General features: G+C 36.8%; 1 long non-coding RNA gene across 2 annotated transcripts in view; it reads left to right on the top strand.

Annotated features, from left to right (window-relative positions):
- Positions 1–615: 615 nt before the first annotated feature.
- LOC105374689 (uncharacterized) overlaps positions 616–20,297 on the top strand; it is a 30,724-nt gene continuing 11,042 nt past the window's right edge. The window contains exons 1-2 of one of the 2 annotated variants that reach the window (XR_925859.3): positions 616–938; positions 5,387–5,462. This is a non-coding gene — a long non-coding RNA (uncharacterized LOC105374689). Of the gene's footprint in view, positions 939–3,069; positions 3,412–5,386; positions 5,463–20,297 lie in introns of those variants that run through there. The other variant, XR_925858.3, reaches the window with a different exon arrangement.

Below are 20,297 nucleotides of genomic sequence, written 5' to 3' on the forward strand. Positions count from 1 at the left end.
TTTCAGATCAAATACGAGTAAGAACTTAGAGAATTCTGCTTAAATAAATATTTCTGCCTGAATGTGGTACACTATACATTGCATTCTAAACCAAAAATGGTTATTTGAAGTGGTACTACTAAAATACATCATGGAAAAAAATTATATATTTTGTCACTGTCTAATTTTCTGTATTTTGGCAACCTGAATAAAGCCTGATTTTATATTCTGAGGTATTATCAAGGAAAATATTTTATCTAGTCAGTGGAGAATCAGTTTAGTTTTCTTATGTAATTCTGACAAAAGAAGAGTTGTGTATCTTTATTACCATTTAAGTACTTACTCAGTAGCAAAGCTTTTAATTCATTGGACTATGTTGTTCTTGATATAGTCTTTTTGATGGCATATTTGTATTCTTAGAATGTGTATTTTGATATTGTGTAAAAGTTACTACTGATACAAATAATTGTTTAATAGTTTTAGTAAATCATTTGATAAGCTATTACTTTAGTAATGTGTCCAAATACTTTGAACTTCATTGGAATTTGGTTGAAATACAAGTGGAAAATTAATAAATTAGAATTATTTATAAGAATAAGGAATGGTGAAATCTCACAAGTGACCAATCAAATAATTTGGAGGGCTGGAAATGTTCTTTGTCTTGTTCGAGAAGACTGCAGGCTTTCTTTCTCATTTAACACATTAAAAATAAATTTTTTCAAGGATATTGAAAGTTACACCAAAAAGATTGTGTCATATATTTTTGTTTTGTTTCTTGTATTTTTTTTTTTCCTTATTTCTGCAGTTGGGGTGGATTTGGGTGAGAACAAATCAGGATAGGCCTTAGAAGAGAGAATAATCAAGGTGTCATCGAAGTCTAACAACAATAACAACAAAAACACAGGCCCATTATGGCAATCCAACAGCAGAATGGGAGGATAAAATAATCAGAACTAGAGGTAAGCCAAGATCCAGATCCACAGGTTTTGACAAAGAAGCAAATGCTGTGAGACGTGAGACCATGCACAGCAGGTTGGGCAATATTCTTATACAATGTGACCCTTCTGAGAGGCTAGCACCCTGCAAACCTTAGATCTGCTGTGAGAATCCTAAAAGGGTGATACACATAACCCAACACATGATAATTTTGAGGATAGTCACCATTACATTCACTTAAGTTATAGATATAGCCCACAACTTAAATTTTATTTATCTGCTTTTTGTAAGTTTGATATATAAATTTAATTCATTATTAGGAAGAATCTAGATGTGTACCTCACAATAGACTGAACTTGAAAAATGGTGATCTTGAAGAAAAGTACCCAGAATATTGAACAAATTACACCATTAACGGGTATCGATATTATTACAAGTTTATTATCTACTTTCTTAACAGGGACATCAGCTCTAATCCTGGTTATTACCAGTTAGCTGATGCTTTACATCCCACACTGCCTAACTCAAAATAAGGCCCATGTATTTGCCATAAACAGTAAACATTGTCTCTTTTACATAGAAGATAGTCTTTCACAGAGAAGCTAGAATTGATTGTCTTTCAATTTATGTTCTCTACCACCTATATATTTGTTCGATTTACCCCACCACTAACTACTTCCTTTTCTTCATGATGGGAAAAATATTTATACCCTGTCCCAAACAAACAAACAGAAAAACCCTTCAGTAAATTATAAGTCCCACTTACACTTTTTTGTTTTTAATTTGAAAACTTTGATAATAGTCCATTTTACTTTCTAATGTCTGCAACTTTATCTGTCTATCTATCTATCATCTATCTATCTATCTATCTCTGTCTGCCTGTCTATCTAGTGTTTGGAGAGATTTTGTGACAATTTAGCAAGAGGTATGAGAATCCCTACTAGGGAATAAATACATATTTTGGAAATATATTTTAGTAAATCTTATTGTGGTAAAACATGGGATGAAGAAACTGGGCATTGGCCAACCTTAAGGCTTAGAGACAAATAAAGATTTGCAAATACATGTAAAGTACTAAGCATGAAGGGAGAGAGATAAGTAAATAAATTCCAAGAAAAATTAGGTCAAAGAGAGAATCAACATGCCATCTCCTCCCTCCTGCCTTCCTGGTTATTTGACCCACATGTAGTAGGGTAAAATTATGATTTAATGTTAAATCAAGTTACTGAAGAGTAGAAGGAGATTCGCTTTTACTCTTTTTTTTCAAAAACTGTAGTAAATTAAGACTATTCTAGCAAACCAAGCAATAACTTAACCGTAACCAGGGAACAATGGAAGAAGATGAAAGGCTAACAGGGCATTTTAAGTTATTTATTATGGACACAGGTTGTTTGTATTCTCCTACATATATTATACGAAACAGTCTGTGAAATTCAAATTGATTACTAATGCTTTGTGGGAGTGTTTTTTCATAAAGTACAAGAGATTCTGTGTGTCATCATTTTGTAGATAAGGAACTAAAACAGAAACTGCGTCCACATGTATTAAGGTTAAAAGAAGAGATTACAACAGGTTCTTATTAATATTCAAGATTATCCCATTAACAACAACAAAATAGCAGAAACAATATGCGTGTGTTTGCATATATGTGTAAGCACGTAAACAGTTACCTACATACACACTTATATGTACTTCCTTTACTCCATTTCTCCTTCCATTGCCACAATGCCACATTACTCTACTTCATATTTAAGATTTTTGGGCAGGGTGCAGTAGCTCAGGCCTGTAATCCCAGCACTTTGGGAAGTTGAGGCGGCTGATCGCGAGGTCAGGAGATCAAGACCTTCCTGGCTAACACAGTGAAACCCCATCTCTACTAAAAACACAAAAAATTAGCCGGGCGTGGTGGCGGGTGCCTGTAGTCCCAGCTACTTGGGAGGCTGAGGCAGGAGAATGGCGTGAACCCGGGAGGCGGAGCTTGCAGTGAGCCGAGATCGCGCCACTGCACTCCAGCCTGGGCGACAGAACGAGACTCCGTCTCAAAAAAAAAAAAAGAAAAAAAAAAGATTTTGAAAATATTTTAGCTGTCCTTATTGTATTGTTTTTCTGTTTCTCTTTATCGAGGATTTGTGTTATGCTCTTTTGTAACCTTGCCAAACCTGCAGAGAATCTGCCGCTCACTTTCCTATTAACAGAATAGTGAAATGTTTTCAATTGGTGGGAAAAAGATCCTGATTTCAAGAAAGAATATCCTATTGTTTCTTTGTGATGGCAGTCATATGCTTACGAAATAATAGGGGATATTCTCCTGGGAATTTATAGAGAAGTCATTCTCCCTTACAAAAGGGGCATGCTTGAGCGAAGTGTACACACTTGCCACCATGTTTCCCTCCTGTCATAAATGTGACAAGAGTAATATAGCTGAAGCAGCCATCTTGTGACCACAAGCAACGGACTAGTAGGGGAAGAGTCGACACACTGAAGAGAAGAAAGCAAGTGGGTAGATTTTGAGTTACTGATGATGCTGTTGTTGACCTGCTAATCCAACCCTGAAACTACCAGTTTCCAAATGACGTTAACAAACTCTGAAAAAAAAATCAGATGTAAAATATGACTCAAATGCATATGTTTTAGTGTCAGGTTCTAATGTGTTGAATTTAGGTAAGCAAACCATCCAGAAATAATCAGAAGAAAAATAGAAAGCATATCCGAAGCAAAAGTGAAGATGTGTTTACCAACACAGAGGGTGAAACTGTGGCTAAATATCACAGACTAAATTAGGAAGTACAGGGAAACTATTGCATTCACACAGAATGCTAGCAGGTAGGGTACAGTGTTTTGTGTGTGTAGAAGAACCGCTTACCCTGAATTTGCATATCACCAAATTAATTTTCAACATACCATTAACCTATTTATTTATTTGCATATTTTGACAATCCTTTTTACGGTTGCTAAAAATTATTGTTTTCAATTTCTTAATTTAATATGGTACAAGGTTATTTTCCCATAGATATGATTTTTTTCCAAAATATATTTATGGAAATATAGTAGATTTTTATCTATCTCTATTTTTCTTCCCTATCATTTTAAGCAGTATTTCTTCAGAGATTGGTTCCCTTGTTTGTTTGTTTATTTGTTTTGAGGATTTTGTTTGAGTTTGGTGCCTAAAGTCTGATGAATTTAGACTACTTCTTTGTATTTATAAACTAATTTCAATACTGTTCAATATCTGTTGGTTTAATTGGTTTCTCCAAACATGTAAAATCACTTTTCCTCCACAATAAATATAAATGATGACCATAGGATTCCTGGTCACATTGATTCACAGCTAAGCTCTATGTTTTTCTATCTATAAAGAGTTTGCCTTCAGCGTTTAGAAAATCACTGTCCGCCGTGGTATTTCATGACATCTTACTTGGCATTGCTCTACATTTTTCTCTTACGAAAATATGCCCATACTGGAATCTCCCTACAGCAAAATGACCCGAGTTTTTTTTGTTCGTTCGTTTTTTTGAGACGGAGTCTTGCTGTCGCCCAGGCTGGAGTGCAGTGGTGCGATCTCGGCTCACTGCAAGCTCCACCTCCCGGGTTCAGGGCATTCTCCTGCCTCAGCCTCCCGAGTAGCTGGGACTACAGGCGCCCCCCACCACTTCTGGCTAATTTATTGTATTTTTAGTAGACATGGGGTTTCACCGTGTTAGCCAGGATGGTCTCGATCTCCTGACCTCGTGATCCACCCACCTCGGGCTCCCAAAGTGCTGGGATTACAAGTGTGAGCCACCGCGCCCGGCCGCCCCCAAAACTTTTTTAGCTAAAGCTGTTTTTTCTCTTTAATAGTTTTATTCTAGGGGAAAATGTTGCAGCCATTCAAACTACCACCTAAGGATGGGTGATTATTTGATATTTCTATTACTAATCATTTCTCTAATTTCAACTAACTGACCCTTAACTACAACTCTTCCTATTTCTGATCTTAGGAAAATGTTTTCTGTGTTTCTGATAAAAATACACTTTTAGATGTTTACTAATTTACCTATACTGATTTCTGATTCCCTCAGCCCTGTTATGTCTTCCCATTAATCAAATGTCATCTACTTTATAACTTTCAGAAATATTTTAATGTTCCTATTCTGTTGTGACATACCTCTTAGTAGGCCTCGTCATCCTGCCATGAAATTATTTGTTTGTTATATATTCTGTCATTTCAATAAAATTTCATCAGAGAAGAAAGGCATCATGGACTGCACATTTGCGTCTCTCCCTTCCAACTTAGTATGTTGAAACTGTAACCCCTAAATGATGGTATTTGGATATGAGTGGGAGATAATTTTGTCTCATTCACCTATCCAAAAATCCCTACCCTATGGGAGTGTGATACACTCAGCTTTTGCTATGTACCTCCCTCTTTAAATGATCTTGGCATTAAGCCTATTAAAATTGCACAATTTGAAATTCCAGTGTTTTTTTCTAGAAAGAAGAAAGAGAAAAGTGGATTCTCAACTAGAAGCAAAAACATCCACTGAAGTTTGTGAGAGTGCAATAGGCAGGTTAGTGGAAAGCTGCTGCCCCAATCTAGCTACAACCTCTACTAATGGTTTTCTTGAGATTGTAATGAAGGAGGCTAGAAGAGGAGGCTATATTTGTGAAATATTTTGTGTGCAAATCAGCAGGACATGAAGGCTTAATAGATATGGTTAGTAAAGACACAGTTCCATCCTGAAAGCGTTACCATTTATGGAGATGGAGAACGCGGGGGAAGAATAGATTTCAGGAGAAACTCAGATAATTGGGGTGTTAGAAAATCTTCTGTTATTGTAGAAATTTTTTAATTATATTTTAAGTTTTGGGATACATGTGCAGAACGTGCAGTTTTGTTACATAGGTATGTACATGCCATGGTGGTTTGCTGCACCCATCAACCCATCACCTACATTAGGTATTTCTCCTCATGTTATCCCTCCCATAACCCCCCAAGCCCCCTGACAGGCACCGGTGTGTGATGTTTCCCTCCTTATGTTCATGTGTTCTCATTGTTCAACTCCCACTTATGAGTGAGAACATGCGGTGTTTGGTTTTCTGTTCTTGTGATAGTTTGCTGAAAATGATGGTTTCCAGCTTCATCCATGTCCCTGCAAAGGACATGGACTCATCCCTTTTTATGGCTGCATAGTATTCCATGGTGTATATGTGTCACATTTTCTTTATCTAGTCTAACATTGATTGGGCATTCAGGTTGGTTCGAAGTCATTGCTATTGAGAATAGTGCTGCAATAAATATAGGTGTGCATGTGTCTTTATAGTAGAATCATTTATAATTTTTTGGGTGTATACCCAGTAATGAGATTGCTGGGTCAAATGGTATTTCTAGTTCTAGATCCTTGAGAAATCACCGGACTGTCTTCCACAATGGTTGAACTAATTTACACTCCCACCTACAGTGTAAAAGCATTCCTATTTCTCCACATCCTCTCCAGCATCTATTCTTTTCTGACTTTTTAATGATCGCCATTCTAATTGGCATGAGATGGTATCTCATTGTGGTTTTGATTTGCATTTCTCTAATGACCAGTGATGACGAGCATTTTTTTCGTATGTCTGTTGGCTGCATAAATGTCTTCCTTTGAGAAGTGTCTGTTCATATCCTTTGCCCACTTTTTGATGGATATGTTTTTTCTTGTAAATTTGTTTAAGAAAATCTTATAATGTACATAGGTGGGATAGTTAATGAGAAAGTAGAATATCTGATCCTGAAGTTTCCAGAAGAGGTGTCCAGGAGAGCTGGATATTCAGGGGTCATCAAAAATGGTTTTGAAGCCACAAAATATTAATATCAATCAGGGGAGTGTTTGAAGAGGGAAGAGAATGGAGAACGTTACAGATTTTGAAGATGTCTGTCATTAGTGAGACAGGGGAAGGGGATTATCTGACAGAGTGGAATTAAGGAAAATACCCACAAGGAAAAGAGGAAGGCAAAAGCTGGGTCATGGAAACCAGGAGAAAATGGGGCATAATAAAAAGGAGAATTGTCTATTATATGAAAATCCGCAGAGAGGTCAAGTAAGATTTTTTAAAAATAATGACATCATTAGTGGTTTGGGAATGCAAAGTTCAAGTTACAAATTATACTGAACTTATATTTAAAATATCAATCTCCAAGAATTTTATTTATGAAACAGAATAATGGAGAAATTGGGACAAAACTTGACAGGTTGTGGGGACAAGGGGATGACTGAGTTTTGCGTTCATTGTGTGATAAAAGAGTGTAAAGGCAATTTATATGATAATTCAGCAGAATGTGACAAATGTACAGATACCGTCTATTGTACAGACAGTTGGCTTTTTATTCCTTAAATGTACAGTGTCTGAGAGAGTTAAGTGCCACCAAGTAATAAGGCCAGGCCATGAAATATCCTGTCCAGAGACCACTAACAGCAAATGAATTACATACCAGTATGAGCTTCTTGGCACAAAACCTACTGAAGGACCCTGTTGAAATGCAAATTCCCTTATTATGTTGAATCACATCAAACTTCATAAATAGTATAATGCACATAAATCCATGAAAACTGTTTGTGTTGAGAAAATAAAGTGAATTAATATGAGAGTATGCATACATTAGATAATGCCATAAAGCAGCTTTATAAAATAGTGCATTTTATTTGCCATTTACTGTTTGCATTTACCTAGTTTTTTTTAAAAAAATAATCTCTTCTAGGGACATGAAATGGCAGATATTCAAAGGTGAATATTTATATCTGATTGTAAATGTGAACAGGATAGAGACAAGTAGATTTATTAAATAAGCAAAACCTAATGAAATGTTTATTGTTGTATTCAGTACACTAGTATTCAAAAATTTTCATTAAGAATCACTTTATTTTTAAACTTTTAAAGCAATCAAAATTTTATGGAAATATTATTTTAAATGTCTGTAGAATATAAATAGCTGAAGTTGTGTAATTAAACTGGTAAATTATAAACAAATTGTCAACTACAAAACAAATTCCTTCCTACCAACTTTTTCTCTCATATCTGTGAAAGAATCCAACGTAGAATTGTTTTGCATAAACGACTTTAATATCAGTTAAAGTCAATACCCTTTAGCCAAAGACAACAAGGAACACGCCTATCGTAGAATAACCTGAGTATATTTATTATTGCATTGAGAGAGAATACCCACTCTAGACAACTATGGAGCAGAGCAGTAGGTGGGTATTAGAATAAACCTGTTATAGGATGTGGGGCAATGTTAGGTGATTGTGGGGAGAGTTTAATGGAGTAAAGCTTTACTCTAGATTGAATGTTATCAGAGAGTAGTTCTATAATTGTCTTATTTAGAAGGAGGGAAGACTTATTTTAATGTCTTATTTAGAAGGAGGGAAGACTGAGTCATGTCACAGCTGTAATTGGTAAAGAAACAACAACCATTTATATTAGCAGGGAGAAGGGGATGTTTGATGTTTTGTGGCTTGAACAATGGTCATGTTTGGTCTGTGATTATGGTATAGCACTGTTTTTACCCTTCTCCATTATGGTCAGTGTGGCCTTATCTGGTGTTATGATTATGGTCAACAAAAGAACACCAAAATCTAGCTGTGAGTGCCAGACCATCTCATAGTAATGCCAAGGCCTAGTTTATACTACCAGGCCAGCTAGTGGGTATCATGGGCTGATTTTCTCTTTCGTGCAAATGATGCAGTGTGCACTAGTCACGAGTACCCTTTCTCCTCTACAAATCTCATGAAATGACAACAGATTATATAGGTTGAAAATGATCAAATCCATCACAACCAATGGCAGCAAAGGTTGCCATTAAAGTAAAAAATGTAAGGGAGCACCTGCGATCAGTACAATTCAGCAATAGAAAGTCTAAAAGTCACTGAAATTAAATGGAGAAACACAATTTTCTTTTAAAGGCAGTGTCAGAGTTACTGGGAACATTATCAGGAAAATTAAAGAATAGCATGTGAGGTAAATTGACAAGCTAATGCTAATATTTTTGAAAATACAAAAGAATAAGAACAACTGAAGCAATCTTGAAAAAGAAAAAAATCCAGAGAAAATATGTTTCTATATGGTAGTAATTGGTATAAAACTATAATAACATAAACAACATGGCATTGAAGCAGGGCCCAAAATTAGAAAACTGTCACAGAATAAATTTCAGCAGTAGTCCCACCAGTTTACATGTTGCACTGTAATACAATGCAGACAGGATGGTTGTTTCCTAAATGTCACTGAATCAACTGGATAACTAAACAGAAATATATATATATATATGCACACACACACTACACATACACATATATATGCACACAAACACACACACACATATATGCATATATGCACCTGGACTTAACTTGTTGAGACATTAGAGTTTAATAAAATTATTAACTCTTTATAGATTGCTGGTTGGAATTTAAATTTTTGCAACCACATTTGTAACTGTTTAGAAGTATCTAAAGAAGCTAAACATATGATTTCTCTGTAAACCAGCCATTCTACTTTTAGGTATAACCTTGAAAGAAATACATACATATTTCTAAAAACACAAGTAAAACAATGTTCTTAGGAGTTCCTTTTGTAATAGGTAAAATCTCAAACAACCTAACTGTGCATCTTCCTTAGAATAGATAAGCAAACTGTCATATATTCATACAGTGAATGTGGTGGAATGTGATTCCTGACTCTCACACCCTGTGTAATTGCCTCTCTCCAGTATGGACTGTACCCAATCACTCACTTCTAACTAATAAAATATACAAAAAGTTCAATGATTTCACTTTTAAGGTTAAGTAATGAAGAGACTGTAGCGTCGGTCCTGGCTATTCTCTTTCACGCCCTTGCTGGCTCTGAGGGAAGCCAGTGGCCGTGTCGTGATGTGCCCTATGAAGAGGACCACAAAGTAACTGATGACCTGACCAACATCCAGCATGAACCATATGAGTTAGCTTGAATCAGACTTTCTTCTTTTAACACTTTGGAGACAACTGCCATCCTGGCTCATACCTTGATTGCAATATTGAGGCAGGTCCTGAGCCAGACTTACATAGCTGAATTCTACCTGGATTGCTGATTCACAGAAACTATAAGTAATAATTGTTTGATGCCTTAAGCCCCAATGTTTTAAGGTAATTTATTTTACAGCAATCGACAGGTAATAGAGTGGAACATGAAAGAGAACTATGAGAATGAACAAATGACAGTTATATTTAAGACACTTGGGTAAATATTGCAAACAAAAATTGAAACAGTAAAACCAGGCACAAAATGATGCGTGCTATGTGATTCCATGCACAAACATCCCCAAAATAGGCCAGACTTATCTATAGCATTAGAAGCCCAAATAATGCTCATGCTTGGGAATAGCATAACACTATCCTTGGAAATAGAGAGTGTCTGAAAGTCGTCTGAAGGGGATTTTTTGTGTCTCTTGCTTCTGTTTTGAAAATGTATAAAGCTGTTTACTTTTGATTTGTATACTTTTCTGAATGTGTATTCTATTATTACTTCATAGATGATTACACTAAAACATGACTTTTACACTCAGTTCTTTGCTTTATTTGACCTGTTCTTTTCTTTTGTCCATAATTTTGTGGTTGAGTTTTCCCTGCCTTTTGTTTTTAAATGTGTCTTTGGACATAATATAATGCTGAATTATTTTTAAATCAAATTACAGCTTTTCTACTTTCAACAAATTATTTTAAGCCTTTGCATTTACTGTAGTTACTGAAAGTTTAAGATTTGGTCCTATCATCTTATTTGTTTTTGTTTTACCAGGTTGTCTTTTCTTCCATTCACTGGATTAATTTATTTTGTCCAACATCTCTGCAGTTTGGATGTTACAAATTTCATGTGGGTTCTTGGGGTTGACTCATAGCATATTTACAACTTTATCTCCCATGTCATAGTCCAAAGCCTGGTAAGTGAACATTATTAATTAGTGGGTGACTTTTGATGATAATGATCAAAAAAAGATGAAATATGGTAGTAAAAATTTAAAAAATTTAAAAATTAGTAAATCATATAAAATGAACATAGGTCAAAAAACTATTGTGGAGACTTATGTATGCATATACATAAAGGCCATTGTTGCTTGTTTTGCTTTCTTGTGAAGTGGGAGAAGAAACTAGGATTTGAACAAATAGATGAAGTTCCATAAAAGGCTTCACTCTCCAGATATCACTTCCATTTGCCCTGATAATGGGTTTGCACCCCATGCATTGGCAATATAAAGAGAAAAGCCATTTGCAAATGAAGTAAATAGCACTTAGAAATGTAGCCACATGTGGTAGAGTGAAAACATATTCAGAGATATTCTGTAGATAATTTTAGGACTAAAATGAGAAAGAATAAAATTGACCATAAAACATACTAAGATGTTCAGGTTCTAATAGGATTTAAAAAATAAATATCCATAATTATCTATGAAACTGTACAAACAGCTCTAAAAACAGAACCAAGCTTACAAGGGCAGTGAAGGCAAAAAGAGACGGGTCAGTTTAATATTAACTAGTTTATAGAAGCAATAATGAGAATTGCCTAAATCTTTGCAAAATTTACATCAGAAAAACTTAGGATGGTTGTGCCACACTGAGGTGAAAATCAGGCAGCATGAGAGTTATCATCCAGGAAAGATTTTCCCGATGCCAAGCTACTCCCATTGACTTTTTATATTATAATGAAAGTGTAGTAAAGGGAGATGAATTTAAGAGCTTGATTTGAGAACAGAACTGGACAGTTTTGTACATTCATCCAGGGGCACCAAATTCTCCCCAGGGAGTTATTGCAAATCAGCAGAGGAAACAAAGGATGGTTATTATGTCAGTTTTTAAAATATTTCTATTCCTTTCCCACCTTCCTATTGTCAAACTGTAAACATTCTTCTCCTAGGAAATAAGCAAGTTCTTTCAAATCCAGATGTTTTCAGTTAAATTAGGATTGTAAAGTTTGAACAGTTTATTGCAACCACATCGTTCTTATTTCTTAAGCTTCCAAATAAATGTCAACATACATTATATATATATATATATATATATATATATATATATATTTAACATAATTGTTTTATTGTTAAATATACATTTTTTGGTATATTTACTGTTAAACATATGTATATTTAACCATAACTGTTAAACATACATATATGGGCAGGGCACAATGGCTCACACCTGTAATCCTACCACTTTGGGAGGCTGAGGCAGGTCACCAGAGGTCATGGGTTTGAGATCAGCCTGGCCAACATGTTGAAACCCAGTCTCTACTAAAAATACAAAAATTAGCCGGGCATGGTGGCACATGCCTGTAATCCCAGCTACTCGGGAGGCTGAGGCAGGAGAATCACTTGAACCTAGGAGGCGGAGGTTGCAGTGATCCGAGATCTCGCTACTGCACTGCAGACTGGATGACAGAGTGAGACTCCATCCAAAAAAAAAGAAAATACACATATGTGTTTGTGTGTTTTGTGAATATGTATGTAAGTGAATGTGTGTGTGTGTGTGTCTCTGTGTGTGTGTAAAATTGAGTTTTAACTAACTTGTATTTACTGCTTTTATGTTCTGCTCTCTTGTTTGGTCAACATCACTTTACTACATTATGTTACTGCATAGACATTGTGTTTTTTGAAATTTTAGCAACTGATATCTGAGAGGACCTTTGTAGGGAAAACTCCAAAGGTTGATTCTCTTTTGATAAGATATATGTTAGCAAGCTGGGCACAGTGGTGCGTATCTGTAATCCCAGCTACTCCAGATGCTGAGGCAGGAGGATTCCTTAATGCCAGGGGTCAAGGCAGTAGTACACTGTGATTGCACCTGTGAATAGCCATTGTATTTGAGCCCGGGCAACATAGCAAGACCAAGTCTCTTTAAAAAAAAGAAAGAAAGAGAGGAAAAAAAAACAGGAAAAAATAAGAGAAGAGAAAGAAAAGAAAAGAAAGGAAAGGAAAACAAATTAGAAACCTAAATCTTCACGGAGTAGGTAATAGAATCCAACAGGGATTCCCTATACTCATTAATTTCTATGTTGCCCCACAAGTGCAACACTGGCATATTGTAGCTTTCCTCAGGACATCATAGTATTGCCTGCTTAGTATCTGCCGTTTTAGCACCTATTTTTAAGGTGTTTTTTTAACATCAGTAAGGTTCGTGTTCTGATAAGAAGCTGTCATCCCTGGATTAATTCAACATCTTGGCCAAAATCTGTAGCTTATTTGTCAATTTCATTGCTAAGTGAAAATTAATCAGAAGCACTGAAAATAAACAAAAAAAATAGATTCATTCTTTTTACTACATAGACTTCCTAATTTTACATATATGGTCAGAGCCAATAATTTTAGTGAGTGATAAAGTTCAAATTCTTCATAAAATGTTTGTAGCCATTTTATAATACAATGATTATTATGGTGATGGAAAGTAAATACATGCGAAAATACACCTATAACACTACCACGTACCAGACACTGCCCCATATACTTTTTATATTCACTCATTTGAATATCACAACAAAACTTAAGGAAGTATTAGAAACATGAGAAAAATTAAACTTACATGATTGGTAAGTGATAGAATCAAGAATCAAATTCAAACGGTATCATTCTACAAGCCACGCTCATAAACTCTACCTATTCTGTCCTTTGTCATATATTACTACATGGCATTAAACCCTACACTATAACGTCTCTCCTCATTTCCTCCTTGCTGCCTATAATAAAAAAAATTATACCAGCTAGCAACGTTTTAAAGATAAATTAAAATATTATGTGTATCAATATTTTAGATTTTTGAGGTTTAATTTTTATTGCTAAAATCTAGTGGGACATAAATATATAAATATGTGTGTGAATGTGCTGTAAGTGTGAGAAATAGACATGAAAAAATCTGTAAATAATTTTACTTTAATATTTCACTAACAAGTGGATAAAAAATCTAAATCTATTAATAGTTTCTTTTCATTTCTCTATGCCATTATTAAGGAAATAAAAAACATATACATATTATAAACATAAATTACATAATCACAGCTTATTTTATAAACTACAAATCTACATGGTACATATATAATTTTGGCATTCACATTTAATTTATAATTATTTTTTAGGGAAAATCTTGTTTTAGGGTCAATAAATGCTTAAAAACTTTCCAAACCATGCTTATGTTAAATTAGTGAAATTAATTTAATAAAATTTTTCATGTTTATAAACATGAAAATCATTTTAAACTGGAAATTTTGTTTTTTTATTAGACTTTAAGTTCTGAGATACATGTGCAGAACATGCAGGTTTGTTACATAGGTATACATGTGGCATAGTGGTTTGCTGCACCCATCAACCCAACATTTACATTAGGTATTTCTCCTAATTCTATCCCTCTCCTTACCCCCCACCGCATGACGGGCTCCAGTGTGTGATGTTCCCCTCCCTGGGCCCATATGTTCTCATTGTTCAACTCCCACTACGTGTGAGAACATAAGGTGTTTGGTTTTCTTTTCCTGCGTTAGTTTGCTGAGAATAATGGTTTCCAGCTTCATTTATGTCCCTGCAAAGGACATGAACTCATCCTGTTTTATGGCTGCATAGTATTCCATGGTGTGTATGTGCCACATTTTCTTAATCCAGTCTAACATTGATGGGTATTTGGGTTGGTTCGAAGTCTTTGCTATTGTGAATAGTGTGGCACTAAACATGGGTGTGCATGTGTCTTTATAGTAGAATGATTTATAATCCCTTGGGTATATACCCAGTAATAAGATTCCTGGGTCAAATAGTATTTCTGGTTATAGATTTTTGAGGAATTGCTACACCGTCTTCCATAATGGTTGAACTAATTTACACTCCCACCAACAATGTAAAAGTGTTCCTATTTCTCCACATTGTCTCCAGCATCTGTTGTTTTCTGACTTTTTAATGATTGCCATTATAACTGAGGTGAGATGGTATCTCATTGTGGTTTTGATTTACATTTCTCTAATGACTAATGATGGTGAGCTTTTTTTCCTATGTTTGTTGGCCACATAAATGTCTTCTTTTAAGAAGTGTCTGTTCATATCCTTTGCCCACTTTTTGATGGGCTTGTTTGTTTTTTCCTTGTAAATTTAAGTTCCTTGTAAATTCTGGATATTAGCCTTTTGACAGATGGCTAGATTGCAAAAATTTCCTCCCATTCTATAGGTTGCCTGTTCACTCTGTTGATAATTTATTTTGCCATGCAGAAGCTCTTTAGTTTAATTAGATCCGATTTGCCAATTTTGGCTTTTGTTGCAATTGCTTTTGATGTTTTAGTCATGAAGTCTTTGCCCATGCCTATATCCTGAATGATATTACCTAGGTTTTCTTCTAGGGTTTTTATGGTTTTAGGTCTAATGTTTAAGTCTTTAATCCATCTTGAGTTAATTTTTGTATAAGGTGTAAGGAAGGGGTCCAGTTTCAGTTTTCTGCATATGGCTAGCCAGTTTTGCCAACACCATTTATTAAATAGGGAATCCTTTCCCCATTGCTTATTTTGGTCAGGTTTGTCAAAGATCAGATGGTTGCAGATGTGTGGCATTATTTCTGAGGCCTCTATTCTGTTCCATTGGTCTATATATCTGTTTTGGTACCAGTACCATGCTGTTTTGGTTACTGTAGCCTTGTAGTATAGTTCAAAGTCAGGTAGCATGATGCCTCCAGCTTTGTTCTTTTTGCTTAGGATTGTCTTGGATACAAAGCCTCTTTTTTGGTTCCATGTGAAATTTAAAGTAGTATTTTCTAATTATGTGAAGAAAGCCAATGGTTGCTTGATGGGAATAGCATTGAATCTATAAATTACTTTGGGCAGTAGGGCCATTTTCACAGTATTAATTCTTCCTATTCAGGAGCATGGATTGTTTTTCTATTTGTTTGTATTCTCCCTTGAGCAGTGGTTTGTAGTTCTCCTTGAAGAGGTCCTTCACATTCCTTGTAAGTTGTATTATGAGGTATTTTATTCTCTTTGTAGCAATTGTGAATGGGAGTTTGCTCATGATTTGGCTCTCTGTTTGTCTCTCTTGTCTATTGGTGTATAGGAATGCTTGTGATTTTGCACGTTGATTTTGTATCCTGAGAGTTTGCTCAAGTTGGTCATCAGCTTAGGAAGTTTTTGGGCTGAGACAATGGGGTTTTCTAAATATACAATCGTGCCATCAGCAAACAGAGATAATTTGATTTCTTGCCTTCTTATTTGAATATGCTTTATTTCCTTGTCTGGCCTGATTGCCCTGATGAGAACTTCCAATACTATTTGAATAGGAATAGTGAGAGAGGGCATCTTGTCTTGTGCTGGTTTTCAAAGGGAATGATTCCAGCTTTTGCCTATTCAGTATGATATTGTCTGTGGGTTTGTCACAAATAACTCTTATTATTTTGATATATATTTCATTAATACCTAGTTTATTGAGTGTTTTTAGTATGAAGGAGTGTTGAATTTTATTGAAGGCCTTTTCTGCATTTTTGAGATAATCATGTGGTTTTTGTCACTGGTTCTCTTTATGTGATGAATTATGTTTGTTGATTTGTGTATGTTGAACCAGCCTCATGTGCCAGAGATGAAGCCGACTTGATCATGATGGGTAAGCTTTTTGATGTTCTGCTGGATTTAGTTTGCCAGTATTTAGTTGAGGATTTTCACATTGATATTCTTCAAGGATATTGCCCTGAAATTTTCTTTTTGTGTTGTATCTCTCCCAGGTTTTGGTATCAGGATGATGCTGGCCCCTTGAGTTAGGGAGGATTCCTTCTTTTTCTATTGTTTAGAATAGTTTCAGAAGGAATGGTAACAGCTCCTCTTTGTACCTCTGGTAGAATTTGGCTGTGAATCCATCTGGTCCTGGGTTTTTGTTTTTTGTTTTTTTTTTTGGTTGGTAGGCTATTAATTACTGCCTCAATTTCAGACCTTGTTGCTGGTCTATCCAGAGATTTGGTTTCACCTGGTTTAGACTTGGGAGGTGTATGTGTCCAGGAATTTATCCATTTCTTCTAGGTTTTCTAGTTTAGTTGCATAGAGGTGTTTCTAGTATTTGTTGGGGTGATCAGATCCAACACCAGGTCTTAAGGGTGACGAAGTCCGGCGGAGTCAAAGGAATGAGAAAAATTTGAGAGTGAAAGTGGGACCAGGGGGCCATCGCGAGTGTGGAGGCTGCGAAGGCCCCAAGCTCTGGGAGCCCACGCTATTTATTTGTGCTCAAACAAACAGGTAGTGAGGATGTGGGGGTTGAGAGGAAACAATGTATCAAGTAAATGAGAAACATATAGCTGCTTGAGATAACAGGAGTGCTAGAAGCAAGGAGCCAGCAAGTCTAGCAGACATGCAAGCCCTGCCTCAGCTTCTCTCCCAACACTCAGCTTTTCTCCCAACATGCCCCCTTTCTCTTTTTTGTAAAAACCACCACAGCTATCATTATTACTAACAAGGTGGCCTCTTTTTAAATTAATTGAGCAAGGCAATTGCAGGCTGTGCAGATCTTCATTGTCAGTTGGTGATCCAGCTTCATTTTTCTTAGCCCTTATTCCAAATGGAGTCGCTCTGGTTTGAATGCTTCCTACATATCTTCCCTTTCCCTTTTACAAGAGGACCCTTAATCCTAGGGGTTGCAGAAGGATGAAAATCCATCTTCTGTAACTTCTTCATGCTGAATAGGGGAGATGATACTCCTGCCTACCTATTAGGGTCTCTTGTATTCAGGGTAGAGAGAAGTTCGGTCAGAAAGCATTGGTTTTAAGCATCTATTAGTAAAACCCTGGTGCTCCAGCAGTTTCTCAGCATGTCTCATACTGGGGGAACCCAGTCCATGGTTGTACACATCTTGAGGGCACCTACAAGGTTTGTTCTTCTCCTGCAAAAACACAAGCATACTCTCACCCCCACATTAGTAAATCTACTGAAACAGAAGCAAAGACTTTTGTGGCTGTAGCCAGGAGGCATGCCATTGCTGAAGCATTTGTAACTCGGCTTCTGCCTCTTTGGTAAATTACTGTGGCATAAAACTTACTGTTGATAATGAGAAGCAGGCTCTGTCTAACAGAAGGCACAGAGAAAGCAAATCAAGGCTTAAAAGCAATCCTTAAACCTTCAATTTGCACTGTACAGGTGGGTCCACTAGAGGCTGTGGTTCATGACAGATCTTCACATGTTTGGTGGGCACCCACACAGGCACCTGATTGTCACCTGGAGAGACACAAGTAAATCCTCTTCCCTATAAAATCATCTTTCCTTTTTCCCAGCTCTTTGTTTGTGCATCCCTCCACCATATATCTTGTCCAGCCTTTTTATTTTCTTTTGTCCTCTCAGGTGTTGTTTAGCTGCTGTCAAGGGTTGAATCACAGCATTAACAGCCCTTAAATCTTTTGACATTCTCCATTTTCCTGATTTTTTTCTTAATGACAAATACATGAGAATTCCAAGGGGGAAAAGTAGGCTCTATATGTCCCTTTTGCAATTGTTCCTTCACCAGTTCTTTTAAAGCCTCCAGTTTTTCCTGTTTCAATGGCCATTGCTCCACCCAAACCAGTTTGACTGTTAGCCAAACAAGAGGAATGGGAGCCAGAGGCTCAACAATGGCTGCTCCTAAAAATGACACCCCAATCTGGTCCAATCTGTTTGCCCTTCTAATTCTAAAGGTTCTGATTGGCCATTTTTAATCTTTTTCTAGTCCTTTTCCTGGTTGATATCCCACATTTTTCATCATTTGTCTACTATTATTACTATATTGATCCATGGGAGTAGATATTTCAGCATCTTATTGTTGCAATAAGTCTCTACTCCATAAATTGACAGGAATAGGTGTAATGATAGGTTGAATTGTCCCTTCCTGACCATCCAGCCCTTGACATGGTAAAATCAAAGAACTTTGAAAAACTTCTGAGGCAGCTCCTATTCCAGCAATACCAATAGATGCCTTTTGCATAGGCCACTGCCAGGGCCATTGATTTATAGCAATAATAAAGACGTCAGCTCCAGTATCTACTAGTCCTTCAAAATCTTTTCCCTGAATAGTTACTGTGCAAATAGATCTTTTGTCAGATACTTGATTAACCCAATACACAGCCTTTCCTGCTGGATTAGTATTACCAAAGCCTCCTGTTCTTTTCAGTTTGCTGCTTCCTAGTTTTATGTAAGGTAACAGCAACAACTGAGCAATTCTTTCTCCTGGAGAGGTAGACCATGGAGTCAAGGAACTAATAACTAATTGAATTCCTCCAGTATAATCAGAGTCAATTATTCCCATATGCACAGTGACAACTTTTAAATTTAGACTAGAACTTCCAAGTGAGAGGTGAAGCTGGCTGGGCTTCTGGGTCGGGTGGGGACTTGGAGAACTTTTCTGTCTAGCTAAGGGATTGTGAATACACCAATCAGCGCTCTGTGTCTAGCTAAAGGTTTGTAAACACACCAATCAGCGCTCTGTGTCTAGCTAGTCAGGTAGGGGACTTGGAGAACTTTTCTGCCTAGCTAAAGGATTGTAAATGCACCAGTCAGCACTCTGTGTCTAGCTAAAAGTTTGTAAACGCACCAATCAGCACTCTTTAAAACGGACTAATGAGCACCCTGTAAAATGGACCAATCAGTTCTCTGTAAAATGCACCAATCAACAGGATGTAGGTGGGCCCAAATAAGGTAATAAAAGCAGGCCACCTGAGCCAGCAGCGGCAACCAGCTCGGGTCCCCTTCTATGCTGTGGAAGCTGTGTTCTTTTGCTCTTTGCAATAAATCTTGCTGCTGCTCACTCTTTGGGTCCGCACTACCTTTATGAGCTGTAACACTCACCACGAAGGTCTGCAGCTTCACTCCTGAAGCCAGCAAGACCATGAACCCACCAGGAGGAATGAACAACTCCAGACGTGCCAACTTTAAGAGCTGTAACACTCACTGCAAAGGTCTGCAGCTTCGCTCCTCAAGTCAGCAAGACCATGAATATCTGAAGGAAAAAACTCTGGACACACCATCTTTAAGAACTGTAACACTCACTGTGAGCGTCCACGGCTTCATTCTTGAAGTCAGCGAGACCAATAACCCACCGGAAGGAACCAATCCCGGACACACAAGTAATAGACCGACTGTTCCTGAGGGTAAGCATCCCCTAACTCCCGTGGGGACCTTCTTTGATGGTTCTCCAGGAAGTAAGGAGACAGGAATTGTGCTGTGGAAATCTATGGCAGCACTGCCTGCTGAGGAGGGGGACAACTGTTGTACGTTTGTATACGTTTGTAAGTGTACTGGCTGTGCTGGGTATGCCTTGGTATGTTGAGGGGCTCGAGGCGGGCCCTCTTCCCATTTCCCAAAAGAGGTTGTCCATTTTTGCTAAATTTAGAATGACACTGACTTGCCCAGTGATTGCCTTTCTTACACTGGGGGCATACACTTGGACTTTTC

Source organism: Homo sapiens, chromosome 5 (genome assembly GCF_000001405.40).
Source record: "Homo sapiens chromosome 5, GRCh38.p14 Primary Assembly".
Classification (NCBI taxonomy): domain Eukaryota; kingdom Metazoa; phylum Chordata; class Mammalia; order Primates; family Hominidae; genus Homo; species Homo sapiens.